The 16,387-nt window shown below is 41.7% G+C and overlaps 1 protein-coding gene across 2 annotated transcripts in view, besides 1 other annotated feature; it reads right to left on the minus strand.

Annotated features, from left to right (window-relative positions):
- Positions 1–16,387, minus strand: part of CREB3L2 (cAMP responsive element binding protein 3 like 2) — a 127,108-nt gene that overhangs the window by 60,816 nt on the left and 49,905 nt on the right. The window lies entirely within an intron of this gene.
- Positions 12,609–12,903: a silencer, noted in NCBI's record as "tiled region #2088; HepG2 Repressive DNase matched - State 2:TssF". NCBI's record gives its function as "represses a minimal TATA promoter and a strong SV40 promoter by Sharpr-MPRA in HepG2 cells {active_cell/tissue: HepG2}" and the evidence as "EXISTENCE:reporter gene assay evidence [ECO:0000049][PMID:27701403]".

Below are 16,387 nucleotides of genomic sequence, written 5' to 3' on the forward strand. Positions count from 1 at the left end.
ATCCAAATTTACAAATCAGATAAATTAGGAGAAATTTTTATCCTTATAAGAATTACTTATTTTATAAAAAATTACCTCGGCTCTGAAGCATTTACGCTTTGAGTTTTCAGGTCACTAATGAACTGCCAAAGTAGCTTGCAAGGAAGGAGTGGTTTATGATCTGGGCCACTTCCTGCTGCTAACAACTGCCCTAAGATCAGAGGTCACGAGGGTGAGGAAAGGGGAACAAAGTGGGAGGAAAAGGAAGGATTCATAATTCTTTAGTTCAAATAACTGGCTGCATAAAGCTACCGACCTGTCTTCCGTACAGTACTCTCCACTAAGGTTCGCCCACTCAACAAATACAGTGGGAGCATGGGCAGAAAGATGAATAAAGGTCAGTCTTATAAAGACAGAGTTATCCCAAGGTGCAAAATGAGTTAGCCAGAATGTATGTCCTGTGCCCCATCATCCAGAGAACTTGCAGAGCGTGTTCTAAAGCAGTTGTGCCATCCCATAGTCAGCCCAACAGGCCTCTTTTGTGCACAGGCTAACAGAAGAGTGCTGCACCAGACCAGTTAGGGACAGGAGTTCTCTAGTCCCAGCCTTGCACTTCAGTGGTGGTCAGTCTGCCTCTTCTAGACTCAGTTTCCTTACCTGTAAACCTCTGTGTGTGTGCGTGTGTGCATGTGAGTGTGTGAGTGCTATGTGTACTGGGGATGAGGGTAGGCTTTAAACCTGATCAGTAGTTTGTCACCTTTTTTCACCTTTTTTAAATTCTTAGACCCTTTTGGGAATCTAATGAATGCTCCTGCCTGACAACCTAATGCTCCTTTTGGGAATCTAATGACAGTCCTGCCTGAGAAATGCTCACAGCCACAAACACACAAACACAGCCCAGCATTTCAGGAGGCTGACCCGCCCCTGAAGTCTGTCTGCAGACGGCAGGGGGATTCCATGGATCCCGGGCTAAACCCTGCCAGCAGAGAAAGTAGTAATAACACAGGGATATTTATAAGTCATTGCTAACAACCTATTCAGCTCTACTACCCTATCATTTTCTAAAATGTTGCAGGCAACATAAAATGGAGCTACGAAGGTTTTTCAACTTGGGAAAAGGAGGACAGAGAACACCCTCTTTCTGCCTCCCGGGTTTGTTTAGATTTGCCCCTGTAATGCCAGCCCATGGGCAGTGAAGCAGGTGGCCACGGCAGGTAATAGGATTCAGAAAGCAGAACCTGGGCTGGCAACAAGAGGCCCAAGGCCTGCCGGGGCTCCTTCTGAGCTCCCCAAGCATTCAATTCCCAGCCCTGCCCTCTGGGAAACAGGGAAGCTTTGCAGCCAGTCTCTGGCTGAAAAGATAGTTCTCCGGCAGGCAGGAGAAGAAGCCTCTGTACTTAAAAATCGTGGCTAGGAGCCTTACCTAGAGCACAGAATGCCTCCCAAAGACTGGAGCCATAGAAGAAGGGAGTGTGGCAAGAGCAAGCTGATCCTCTCCATAAATGATTCAGAGGACACAGCTCAAATTCACATTAGAAACCAAGGCCTCCTTCCAGCAAAACATAGTTTGACTGTATTGCTCAGGCAGGGAGGAGCTGCCCTGGGCTCCTGGCATCCCCTAGGCCACCCTCCCTCCTCCCCTTGCAGGGAGAGAAGGGACCTGCCTTCAAAACCAGTGCACCTTAGACCTGAGTGGCTCTCACACAAGTACCCTGCACACAACACACAGAAAAGGGCCAGATGCCAACCATGAGGAAAAAGGTGACCTTGTCAAAGTCCCAAGAAAAAAAAATGGCTCACAAGTCAAACTCCATTACAGTGAAATTTCAAGGATACCCAATTCTTTTCTAGTACAAAAATGTAGGCCCATTACATATTTCTTTAATTTTTAAAAAATGGGGGCTGAGCTTCGAACTCTTTATTACACCAGAGTTTTGGAGATTTGTGGTGGGGGTTATTTTGGGGAGGGTGTTTTGTTCTGAAGTGATATTTGCTTTACTGAAATTTCACTAGCAGTAACAAAAGCTGTGTTTTAAAGAGGCTTATTACCAAAAAAAAAAAAAAATTAAATAAATAAATATATGTACACCTTGCTTGGTAGTATCCAGATGAACCTTTTTTTTTTGTAAATGAAGTATGTGAAATAGATTAAGCAATAAAGGCATTGAGAGATGATATTTAAAGGAAACCTATTATAAATCCATTGGTAGGGTATATTCAATATTTTGTAAAAGGAGTCACCCTGGGAGAAGGAGGAATAAATAGGTGGACCACAGATGATTTTTAGGGCAGTGGAACTCTGACACGGATACTATAATGGTGGAGACACGTCTTTATACATTTGTCCAAATCTATAGAATGTACGACACAAGAGTGAACCCTAATGTGAACTATGGACTTTGAGTGATAACAATGTGTCAATGTATCTACCATCATGTCTACCAATATGATGGTAGATGTTGACAGTGGCGGAGGCTATGAATGTGTGGGGCAGAGGACATATGGGAAATCTTTCTACCTTCTGTTCGATTTTGCTCTGAACCTCAAACTGCTTTCAGAAATGGGTTTTTTGTTTGTTTGTTTGTTTTTTGAGACAGAGTCTCACTCTGTCGCCCAGGCTGGGGTACAGTGGTGCGATCTCGGCTCACTGCAACCTCCACCTCCTGGGTTCAAGCGATTCTCTTGCCTCAGTCTCCTGAGTAGCTGGGATTACAGGTTCCCGCCACCACGCCCAGCTAATTTTTGTATTTTTAGTAGAGACGGGGTTTCACCATGTTGGTCAGGCTGGTCTCGAACTCCTGATCTTGTGATCCACCCGCCTCGGCTTCCCAAAGTGCTGGGATTACAGGTGTGAGCCACTGCCCCTGGCCAGAAATGGTTTATTTTTAAAAACTAATTCCTAATGTATATATTAAGTAAAAATGAATTTTTACATATGATATTTGCTTCAAGGGTCATGCACCATACTAATTCCTTTTAAACTACATAATTTTTCATCATTAAAACAAGTAATGATCCACTTTCCCAAATGCATGCCAATCCTGAATGGCCTATAGCAGTTATTAGAATTTGATGTGGAAAAAAAATCCACTGTTTCATTTTAAGAGCATCTGCCCACAATACAAATAAATCAGTTAATGAGATGAAGGGAGAAACACCCCACAAGTGGCTCCTGATAACAAAGGAGAGCTGCAAGATTCAGAATTAGCTAGCACATAAAAATTCAATCTGCCTACTTCTTGGCTTATTTACACATATAGCTGCAAATACCCCCAAAATGCACTTCTTCATTCTTTCTGAACCCAAATTAGCCTCTAGCCTAGTAGGGCCTGTCCTTCCATGGCCCAAGAGTATCCAACAAGTACCAACAGGAATAAAAATAATGCGAAGAAAATTTAATAATAATAGCACCTTCCATATTCAATGCATAGTATTTACATATGACAAAACACTTGCACACCATGACTGTATCTGATCCTCACAAGACGGAGAATTATCCCGAGGGTAGAGACAGTGGGGCAGCCTGGAGTAGGGCAGGACCCCTTCCCAGGCACGTTCGGCATAGTCCCTGCTGCCTCTCAATCACTAACACAGAGGACTTGGAGCTCAGATTTCTAATTGTTCCCCAAAAATGCTTTTTGAATTGTAACTTGGGCCTGAGAGAAGGGCAATCTCCTCATGTCAATGAAGGAAATCCTCAGGATCCTTTTAGAGCAGACAGAGCTGTTCCAGAAATACCCGTATCAGGTAGAGAAGTCCTCTGATATGCTTCAAGAAACTCAAACCATCCCCGAGTCCTCTTGCCCCTTCCTTCTGCCACAACAGACAGCTGAATCTCACCAACAAGTGAAAGACCATCAAAGCCATGATCAAGTCAACCGTTCAAGGCTGAGGCAGTACAGAACCTGTGATTCTGTTCTTGTCATCCATAGTGGGGAAGCCACAGAGACTGGGATGCTGAAAGCAGCTGCCATCAGGACCACCAATTCTTCCCTCTCCCTTTTCTCCACTTCTATCCCCGAGTCTAGACTCTACCCCCGCAATCTTGGATGGGAGTGCTGGAGGCCCAGCGGGGCTTTTTGCCTGATCTATCCCACAAGCCAAGGCCAAAAAATGTTTGCTTTTAACCCTCCCACACTTAAGAGCCTCCTACATAACTCAGCCTATGTCCAAATTCCCCACAGTGAGAGTTAAAGTAGATTTAAATTTCTTACTACCCAGTTAAATTCTCTAGATACTCTTCCTAATTGGTGTTGTTGATATCCCTCCTTCTGTCCCTTATCCTTCAATTTGCAGTTTTCAACCCTTTTACATGCTCATTATATAAGGAAATTTGGAGGGTTTTTTGGTCAGACTGCTGTAATGAGGTCTCTTGCCCTCTCTGCAGTCATAAGCTTCTCCTCTCTGGTATCTTCCACTCTCTTAAACAGAAGGCATCCCCATTCCCTCTCCCACAGTATACACTCTCCATCTCCATTTCAGTCTTTACCTCACCAGGGGACACCCAGGACATTCCCTCATATCTTTCAGTGAAGGCACAAGCTAAGGTATTTACTATTCCTACACTCTTGCATCCTACCCTAAAAGAATACAATCTGGTACTCTGCCATTCATTCCAGAAAAATTTTGGATTACAGCAGGCTCCAAATCACAGACTAGTGAAGCTTGAGGAAACACTGGATATCATCTGGCCTGACCTGGTCACTCTAATTTGAGAAAACTGAGGTCCAAAATGGCACATGAAATCAAAGAGTTGAGAACTGAAATCTACACTACAGACTCTCTAACAAGAGAAACGGTGACCAGACATAAAGATCACCAAATGGGTGACTGAAAAGTGTTCCACAGACGACCCCCACAGAATTCTCTGAACAGAACGTGCATGTTGCAATGGAACAATTCTGCCTCCAAGTCAAGATCTAATGCCAAAAACATCAGGTATGAAACACTAACGGGCGATGAAGTTTGTGGGAAAAAATGAACGGCATGCATGCTTCCTAGAAACCTATGCTTTATTTATGAGCCAAATATGTCTTAAGCATTACTGAGATAATCTCATCCCTAGAGGGCCACACTGGGGAAAAGGGAAAGTGCTTGAGAGGTACAAAGTACTGTTTGTGTTGTTTAAATGCTCAGGCATGACTCTGCCAGGAGGTACCCCTCCACCCCAAGATAAGAGCTAAGGGAATCCCGCAGGTCAGCAAATGGGAGACCAGGAAGGTTCTGGCTTCTAGCCACTTTGGCTCCTGCTCTGTGAGACCTCACATGTATGCCCCACCTCTCTGGAATGACATGTGTTGAGACATACCAGGGGATCTTAGCCTTTGAAACCCTTGTGTTATGCACCGGACTCATGGGACAGAAGGCATATAGTCTACATCAGCTCTGTAGATCCTAGCAGCAACCTTGGGTCAAATCACTTGTTCTCTCCACACCACTAGAAAATGAGAAATCCAATCTGCCTTTCAAAACTGTAGTGAAGATAAAAATGAATTCATCGATACAAGTCTAATCCAGATACAAGATGGTGCTATGGTAAATGAAAACTGGCTAAGAAAACCATGTGCAGGCTATGAACACGGAAGTGACTTCCCAGACATCCACAGAGTTCTTATCTCCATCGTGGCCAGCCAGTTAGCAACCGCAGTTATTGGGAGCGCAGTAGCCATTGGCTGTCCGCTCCTGCATGTTCCTTCCTCTCATAAACCTCAACCAGCTGAGGCAATGAACCCTCTTCTATCTCTAAGTGCTACCAGAATCCAAGAGCTTTGAGGCCTGCTCAGGACAGACTATCTTGGAGCAGTGGGGAGTAAAGGGCCCCGGTTGGCTTTCTGTTATCCCACATTGCTAGCCCCAGCCAGGTTATTCATTCCAATCACATTTCTAGAAACAAGAGAGATCAGAAAGGCAAGCTCCAGTATTTTAAATGAAGAACCTGAAGTTAAGGTACACTACACCACTACCCTAAAGAAGCAGAGTTTGATGTTTCTCTATTCATTTAGAAGAATTACTTTGGCATAATAAGAGCTTAATAAATGTTAGCTGTTTTATTGTTGTTTGTATTACATGCCTCGCTAAAACTGGGACAAAATTATTAAGTATTTCTCTGACTTATCAGTCTCTTAATACCATAAAAAATGATGAAGGTCATAAAACATCATTTTTCTTTAGTGAACTCGGTCGATTCTAGTTTTCCCATTTGCTTACCAGGGGGCTCATTTTCAGTTCATCAATTCATAATTGATTGATTGATCTTCCTTTCCCCTTTTTGAAAACTAGGCCCATATCTCCAGTCTCAAACCATCTCTCTCATTCCCTGCAATTTCTCCACAGTTCACCAGCCACACTGTGCTCACATCCATAAGCTTCTTTAGTGTCCTTTCATCTTAACCAGCAATTATAATTTTTAGGCAAACTTCTCATTCAAACTTTTATGAAGGAACTGTTTAAAGCTGAACTGCACTATCAAGTTCCTACTTTGGTGGCACTGCTGAAAACCAGACGAATATTTTCAGGTTCTCAAATCTTTCTCTGGAAGTGGGGTCCAGGTTCTCCTTAAAGTATCCCTCTAAATCCTTCTGCCCTCAGGCGGATCTCCCCTGTCATTGAGCCACAGTCCTGTCATCCCTTTTGGAACAGAAAGGAACCATTCTAAATGAATAGGGAAACATCAAACTCTGCTTCTTTTGGGATAGTGGTAGTGGTTCAGTGTACCTTAGCTTCAGATTCTTTATTGAAAACAATGGAGCTTCAATTCTTCAACTTGGTAGAGTTGAAGAATTTCTAAGAAGGAAAAACAAAACAAAACAAAATAAAACACGAGGCCATAATATTCTCTTTCTAAGAAAGACCATAAATAGAATCTAGTGATCTCAGCAGGTTATTATAAGAACAAGCAAACAGAGATATTCTGCAGTCCTGCTGGAAAACACATGCAATCACCATATGTTAAAAGTTATTCCCAAACAGTTTGAGTATTTTTCTCCCAAAAGACGAGGTAGAGCAATGCTTCTGAATGTTTGTTCATGATTGAACAATGGTGGATAGCTGCTTATTGGATCATGAATAGGACACATTTGCCTTCTAGTCACAAAAGATTATTTTCTGTTACCTATAAAGCCAATGGCATCAGAAAGTACACAAGGTTTGAATGCAATAATGATGCAATGCCTCGGGGGTGGGGGAGATATTCTAGAAAGAAAGTCAGCACAGCTTCATTAAGAAGTAAGAAGTCAAAGGGGTAGTTGCTGGCATAGCAGAAAGAATGCCTTGTTTGGAACCAAAACGCTTGGGTTTTAGACCTAGCCCTGTCACTACTTGGTTCTGTGACCTTGGACAAGTCACTGAACCCCTCTGGGTCTCTTTTGTTAGGAAATAAAATAAGAGGTGGGACCAGGCAGTCTCCCAGGCCCCCTGCGGCTCTGGTATTCTGAGACCAACTATGACGTAGGTAGCTTCTGCTTCCACTCACACCTAAAAGAGTAAAACAGCCTGAAAATAAATCTTAAGCCTGAGTCAATGTTCCCTGCAACTCCCCTTCTCTGGCCTTTTCTGAGATTCTATTGGCAAAGAATGGCTTCCCTTGAGGATGGCTGAGCTAACAGCTGGGCAGTACTGGGTGATCTCTGCCCTTTCAACAGCTGGTCTCTGAGACAAACAACCAGACAGGCTTTATCAGAAAAAATGACTCAACTTGTGGAGGCCAAGCATAGATGGAGAGCAGTATCAGACTTAAAACTACTGTACTACTTTCTCCTCAACCAAACCTCCTTTCATCTACCAGTATCTTCTAGCCTCAGTTATGCAGAACCTCCATGAGAAATGGGGGAGGGAAATGGCACTAGACCATTTCTAGGAAGCCTAGAAAAAAATTCAGGGCCATAGTTTCATGTTTTCTGCCCTATTCCTCATAAGAAACTAACAATTTCTGAAGTGGTTAGAGATGTTCAACCAGGCCATGTTGATATTGTCGATGAGATGATTCTTCATTAATGAGGATTTTCCTGTACATTCCAGGGCCCCTGGGCACTCAGTGCTGGTAACATCCCCCTTTCCCATTATGACAACAACCAAAAATGCCGCCATGTATTTCCAAAAGCCAAAAAAGGAGCTTTCAAAATGTAGATTCAACTAAGAGGGATCCATAACGTTGATTTAGGTTCTTTCCATGGGTCTGTTTTCAGCATTCATGCAAAATGCAGCACTGTGTCAAAAACTTCTCTTCGTGACTGTCTCTGGCATGAAATTGTATTCTCTTCACTGTCTAAAGACCCACCAATATCCAAATGCCCCTTTCCCCATTGATCTGAATACTCTTCACATTTGCAAAGTCTGGGTGTCTAATAGGTTAAACCTCTTAACTTTTGAAGTTTGGGCTTTAAACTGATCTTTTGCTTACCTTTGTTTAAACAGATTTTTGCCACCGGGAGCCCATTTAGAAGGGAAAGGGAAAGAAAAATAGCAATTCACAAAGCTGTACACAGAGTCCGTGTGTGGAACGAAGGTGCAGCTGGACCACCTCTCTGCCTCATGATGTCTGCAAACGCACAGTAAAATTAAGAAATTGTGCCAATGCTAATATTCCCAGTCTCAACAAAGTGGTTTGTTTATTAGGTCTTCTGGCTCACAAAAGAGGTATTTAAAAACTCTGCATGTAGCCTTGGGAACCGACCACGGAAAAAGTAAACCTAAAGCACAAGTTTTGCCTTTGCAAGCAGCAAGCACTGAATCAATGAACATTAGACCATTTGAGTGAAGGCAACAAGATCACAATCAGAAAGAACAGCTTACTGATCAAAGGTAGATATCCCTGAATTGTGATCCATCAATCTGTGAAATTTAAAATAGCCCACATATGAGTATTTAAATAAATTAAGGTATATCTAAGTGGCTATGAAAACAAACTGCTACTGTAGAAAACTATCTGTTAATATACAGAAATGTCCACGTCATATATCTAAATGAAAAATATATTGTGAAAACTGAATTCCCTAATTTATAATTGTCTTTATATATTTATATATGTTGTTACATACTTTATATATCAATGTCTTTTTATCTATTTCATAAATGAATAATCAAATTTATAGTTTTAGAATTTATAACTTTTATTTTATTTTTTATTTTTTATTTTTTTTGAGACAGAGTCTTGCTCTGTAGACCAGGCTGGAGTGCAGTGGCATGATCTCGACTCACTGCAACCTCTGTCTCTCGGGCTCAAGCGATTCTCCTGCCTCAGCCTCCCAAGTAGCTGGGCTTACGGGCATGTGCCACCACGCCCAGCTAATTTTTGTATTTTTAGTAGAGACTGGGGGTTTCACCATGTTGGCCAGGCTGGTCTCCAGCTTCTGACCTCAGGTAATCTGCCCGCCTTGGCTTCCCAAAGTGCTGGGATTACAGGCGTGAGCCACCACGCCCAGCCAAATTTATAACTTTTAATTGAAAGTAGAAATTATCTATAAGTGCTAGAATATAAAAATGTATGGACAGCCTTATAGCAAAATGTTGATGCACTCCTGTGTAGTGTTAATACGGTTTTTTAATTCTTCTTATCTATATTTCTAACAATGAAGACCTCTAATTTACAATGGGAGGAAAAAAGCATTTGCTTTTTCAAAACAGCCTCTGTTTAACTGAATTGCGTGAGACCTGGTTTAAATAGTCCTCAGGGAACAAAAACCAGGGAGGACAACTGACTAGAGACAATATTTTCTGCCCAAAAGATAGATATTCTATATTTTATGCATGTTAACAAATAAACAAACTAACCCATTGGTAGGCACAGGCCTAAAAGACAGACTTTTCTGCAGGGCAATAATACCCCAAATCACAGATCCTTTTTCCTCTGACACTTTAAATGTTACATAGGCAGAAATCTGCTCTCTAATTTTGCCCTCCATGTAGACAGCAATCTGGACTAAGAAGAACTGGGCCTTTCACCAACAAGTATGGTTACCTACAGGTGAACACGCAGGTTTTGTATTAGAACCTCAAATGCTGGAAAGGAGCTCCTCTTTATTCACCCGCCTCCTCATGAGGGTGGGCTCTGAAATGACTCCTAACAAATTGCCCTATCGAAACACTTTTTCTTTCATAAATCCAAATTTCCACCTTGAGCCGCTACAATTAAGCTTTTATCTTTAGATTGTATTTAGTGGCCGTTTCTGTTCTCTCATGACTTGAGCCACCAGCCACAAATACTTAAAATAATATTTTTGATCCTGCTCTCCAAATGCACCCTCCCCCAAATTATAGTCTGTTAAATCCCTCTGCTTTTATGCAAAGAATAAACAGGCACTGGCCACACACTCCCTCCTGCCCACTGTAATAGGCTGAAATTCTAAGATGACTCCCAAGACTCCTGCTCCCTGCTGTAACATGCTCGGTATAACCCCCTTCCCTTGAGTGTGGCCTGTGCAACATGTGATTATGACAGATGGCAGTCCTGTGAGTGCTGGGTTACAATGGTGAAGGCAATTTTGCAGGTGTCTTGAAGGTCTCAATTCAGTTGACTCTGAGTTCATCAAAACGGAGATTATCCTGAGCGGGTCTGATCTAATAAGGTGATCCCTTTAAAAGAAGGTCTAGAAATGAGAAAAATTTTCCTCCTGCTGGCCTGGAAGAGGCAAACCACTAGAAGATGTACAAATGCAGAAAAAAAAAAAAAAACAACCCTGAATTCTGTCTACAACCATATGCTCCTGAAAGAGGACCTTGAGCCTCAAATGAGACTGCAGCTCCAGCTGACACCTAACTGCAGGTTGGTGAGCCACTGAGGACAGGACCCAGCTAAGCCATGCCCAGACTCCTGACCCATGGAAAATGTGAGATAATAAATGTGGTTGTTTTAAGCCACTATGTTTATGGTAATTTGTTAGGTGTAGTGCTATATATATAAGCTATATATATAAGCTATAAGGCTGTCCATACATTTTTATATATAGTTATATATATATAGTTTTATATATAGTTTTTTATAGTTATCTATATAGTTTAGTTATCTATATAGTTATCTATATAGTTATATATAGTTATATATAGTTATCTATATAGTTATCTATATATAGTTATCTATATAGTTATCTATATAGTTATATATATAGTTATCTATATAGTTATATATATAGTTATATATATAGTTATATATATAGTTATATATATAGTTATATATATAGTTATATATATATAGTTATATATATAGTTATATATATATAGTTATATATATAGTTATATATATATAGTTATATATATATATATAGTTCAATCCATAGACTGAACTGAGTCCCACCGAAATCCAAATGTTGAAGCCCTAGCGCTCTCTCTCTCTCTCGCTCTCTCTCTTCCCTCCACTCTACCCACTAAGGACACAGCAAGAAGGTGGCTGTTTACAAGCCAGGAAGAGAGCCCTCACCAGAAACCAACCATGCTGGCACCCTGATCTCAGACTTCCCAACCTCCAGAATCACGAGACATACATTTCTGCACCCAGCTGTGGTATTTTGTTATGGCAGCCACACCCGCTCAACACCCGTAGCAAGAGAAAACTAATATACCCACTAACTGGCTACATCTCTGTCCACTCCCTCACCTACACCCTCGCTTCTCTGGGTCTACTATCTGAAGACATTCTTGAGGAGGAAAAATGAATCCTGAAGAGAAACAGGAGAGCTGGAGAACCTGTGACACTTTCAGTCAGCCTCAAACTGGGGGTGTAGTCCTGGCCTGTGCCCTCCGGGGCTCCCCTGAGCCTCTCCACACCTGTGTCTTGATCCCGCCATTTGCCCCCCTTGGCTCACTCCTTTAGAAAAGGAAGTCAGACTAAGATGGCGCCTGTGACTTCATACCTGGGCTCCCAGATCACAGGTTAGTTGTTCTGCCCTGGCCTAAGTTTAGATAAATCTCTTTATTCCTGATGGTCTAGCCAAGACCAAGTTGAGTTTTTTAAAGAAACTTTTACAGGAAAACTGAGGGGAGGGAGGAAGAAGAATTTTTGAAATGCTCAAAGTAGACACATTTATATAAGACACATTTCTTAACTGAAGACCAGTCACAGCCTGGCTTGGCTGGTGTCACGTCTAGAATATCCACCTCCACATCCACTTCCTTCCCCTGCCCTGTCTTTACAGGAGGTTTATAACTGTGCCAGGCCTCCTCCGGCCCGACCTTCATTTGAGTTGGCTCCCTCACTAGCCTGGAGCCTCGGGCTCTGCCACTCTGCAGCTACCCCACCAAGTCCTCCTGCTCTGTTTCTGGCTCCCTGGATGAACAAGGTACTTCCATACCTGACCTCAACAATTCCTCACCTGGATCTAATATCGAGGACCTCACAAGACAGTGCTTTCCCATGATTCCCTGTCTCCAGGCCTCTCTGCTCTTGTGTCTACCACCTTGGCTTCAATTCAGCTAAGATATATTCAAAATTCATAATGTGTCAGTCAATTGTGCTAAATTCTGGAGATGCATAGATGCTGTCTTGCAGCTCAAAGCCTACTAGGACTACCTAAAACATGCTCACTAGTTCATTACTGAAGCTGGTATTACATCATGCTGAAACTCAATTCACGATTAAACTGTTTTTCTCAACTAGTGCCTAAGCTTCATCTTGCTAGTAGCCAGGGGGACATTATGGTAGGAACCAAAACTTACCCATAGCTTCTCCATCTCCTCCAACTCTCCAACTCTACAAAGTTGGAATAAAACAAATGTATTGGAATTTTGGTGTCTCAGTTCCATGTCCCTACTAAATTTCTCACTATTAGACTGTTTACTTACTTGCAGAAAGCCACTGCAAGTTAACAGAAGGAAACAGGATATTGATTTACCTTGGCCAAGGTAAATATTAGCATTTAAGAGGATCATCTTGGCTATTCAAAAGCGTGCTGGGCTCACCATAAGACTTCTCTAGTTTCAATTTTCCTACTGAATCCACAGCATGAGTATTAGCACGTAACTGAAGAATAGCCTCATGAAAACGAATTGACCATTCCTATCCAGTTATCTGTTATAGACTGCAAGCTCCAAGAAGGTATATCAGATGCATTTTGTTGTCCTTGTTCTGTGACCTGCACAACATAATGAACAACTGGCCATTCAAATGAGTTTCAGTGATGATGATGAAAACCAGCAGGATCATCAGTTTTGTGACTATCCCAGGCTTAAGGATGGCTGTCTGTTACCAACTTACACCATAGGAGTCATCAGAAATATAAAGGACATTCACACAAGAATGGAACAAAGTTCCAAACATGTTTACATGAAGTTGTCCCTCTTCCTAGTTGAGAAATAAGTCTACACCTAACATCAGGGTACAGAGATCACTCGTCTCATGGCAATCTCAAAGGCCAAGTCAGCCCAAAGAAATATCATTTTCTCTTAGGCAAATGCCAGCTATCAAAGTGCAAACGGAAATAGCCACTTGGACCTGGAGTTCGGCATTCAAACTGCTGACCCCATTATCTCTGCCACAGTGAGGCTGATACGGACCCGTGATGGGCAATCCAGCAGTTGGGATTCACTTGCTAACTTCCCACAGACGTTTAAAAAAGAACATGTCAGAAACTGTGTCGTTGTAAGGTGTAAGCCAGATCTCAAAACACACTTTATAAAGGACTCACGTATTCTCATTTTAATTGCAAAATTATCAGGAGAGAGGGAATCTAGGTTTTGTTTCTCCAGTAATTCAAAGGCTTGGGGAGGATTTCCCTAGTTTCAAGATCCTTCTGTGCAAGTTACTTCCTTATATTTCGCTTTTCCCATGGATCAAATGGACACCAGTGTTGCACTAGCCTCTTCCCACACCCCTTTGACCTGGGTATGTTATATTCACCAAGTCTCTTCTATGACTTTATTCAACAGCTAACACAGACGTAAAGCTTGTCAACACCCCAATCAAGATTAGAAAAAAAATCTAAGGGATATTTCATGAATGTTTACTTTGGAACATTTGTGTTTCTCACACCAGGGAAAAATAACATGTTTTGGAAGAATAAAATTAAATAGTGACATTTGCTTAGACACTCATGGATGCAAAACCCAATCCGCACTGGTTATTTGATAATGGTGTTATTGAGAGTGATCAACTCCAGGCCGAGTTGCTGGGAAACAAAGGTCACTGTCAAGATGACTCACTGATTTTCTCTAAGGATCTATTGATAAGCTCCTTGTCAACGGAGGTACTGTCAGAAGTATAATAAGGGAAGTGGCTAAGTATATTATTTTATTTAATCTTCACAACAGACATATGAGTGGGGTCATAATTATCCCCATTAGACCAATGAGAAAATGCAAGCTCAGAGAGGCTTTACAACTTACCCAAAGTTGCACAGCTGAGGAAGGGGTAGAACTAGGAAATCAAAATCAGTTCCTCTGACTGCAAAAGCCACACTCTTTCCAATACACCATATGCTTCTTGATCTTCGATGGTGAAAATGTGGGTGGTTTTGTCATGGATTTGTGGGTCATATGAGGGGTACTGTGTTTTCCAATGGGATAGCTATTCTCACCAAACAGGCACTGGTCAAAGAAAGGATCAAGACTCACACCCTGGATTTCTCCAGAGGGCAAAACGTCTGATAGTCATTTCAGGTAAGGTCAGGTATGATTACCATCAGTCCACACTTGTCTTTTTCTGGGGAAACTGGACCACATCAAAGAAGCTCACAAATGCTAACGCCTCTCATAAATGTAAGGTGATATTATCACCACTGTTCCCTACTGAGACACAAAGGGCTGTTTCTCCTCTACCCCATGCTTCTGAGCTACTCCGTAGTAGTGCTTTTTTTCAGGATTTGGTTTGTTTGGGGTGGGGAGTGAGGAGGTATTACGAAGGCTCCACAAACACCAGAGTAGCAGTGTCTGTGTATGCATCCGAAGGTGAGCCATTTATGATTTAGTTTCAGAGTAAAACAAACAAACAAACAAAAGGACATATCAGAAACTGTGTCGTTGTAAGGTGTAAGCTAGATCTCAAAACACACTTTATAAAGGACTCACATATTCTCATTTAATTGCAATATTACAGGAGAAAGGGAACCTTTTCATTTCTCCACTCCAGTAATTCAAAGGCCTGGGGAGGCTTTCCCTAGTTTCAAGATCCCTAGTTTCATGGTACAGCCATGGTACAGTCTGAAGAATAATACACTGATCCTCACTATTCACAGATTCCATATTTCTGAATTGTGTCTAATTGATAAAATGTATTTGTAACCTCAAAAATCAATACTTGTGGCACTTTCATGGTCATTTGAGAATCCGCATAGAGTGGCAAAAAATTTGAGTCACTGACATGCACGTGCCCAGCTAAGGCTGAAAAAGGGCACACTCTGCCTTCTTGCTGTAGCTCTCAGGCTATTACGCAGGTTCCTTTTCATGGTCTATTTAGTGCCATGTTTTTCATATCTTTGTGCTTTTTGTTGGTGACGTTGCTGTCTAAAACACCTCCCAAGCACAGTGCTGAAGTGCTATCTAGTGTCCTAAGTACAAGACGGCTGTGATATGCCTCACAGAAAAAAATCCACGTGTTCGATAAGCTTTGTTCAGGTATGGGTGATAGCACTCTTGGCTGTAGCTCAATGTTAATAAACCAACAATATATTGATACATTAAGTATGGTGTCTTTAAACAGAAGCACACATAAAACAAGGTTATATACTGATTAGTGATAAAAATGTAATCAGACACCCGCAAGAACCTAATCCTCTATTTCCCTTAGCAGCAAAGGGTTAGTATTTGCTAGTTCAGTGTTCACAGTGACTTAAGAGACCATAACCACTGCAAATAACAAGAATTGATTGTACTTATTGAAATGTATAAGTATGGTATATAAGCTCAAGGAATTATTGGCGAAATGTCTGTCATGCATTCAAAGGGCAATGTATTAACTATCTAAAATCATATACATGAAAAAGACTGTAAGAAACACACAAAACAGGCCAGACATGGTGGCTCATGCCTGTAACCCCTGCACTCTGGGAGGTGAGGCAGAAGGACTGCTTGAACCCAGGAGTTCGAGACGAGACCAGTCTGGGCAACATAGGGAGACTCTGTCTCTACCAAAAAAAATGTTTTAATTAGCTGGGCGTGGTGGTGCACAGCTGCAGTCCCAGCTACTTAGGAGGCTGAGGTGGGAGGATCGCTTAAGCCCAGGAGGTGGAGGCTCTAGTGAGTCAGGATCACGCCACTGCACTATAACCTGGGTGACAGAGTGAGACCTAGTCTTCAAGAAATATACAAAATAGACAATAGGGCTGGTAGGATAGTGGGAACATAAGAGTTTTTCTTTTCTTATTTCTCTAACTTTGGTAATATGTTATTTTCGTAATTTAAAAATAAAATTTCAAATGCAAATTTACTCCCATCCATTAATATCTCTGAGAAAAATCCACAAGTCCTTATTGTCAAGTATATGACT

This window comes from Homo sapiens, chromosome 7 (genome assembly GCF_000001405.40).
Source record: "Homo sapiens chromosome 7, GRCh38.p14 Primary Assembly".
Classification (NCBI taxonomy): Eukaryota; Metazoa; Chordata; class Mammalia; order Primates; family Hominidae; genus Homo; species Homo sapiens.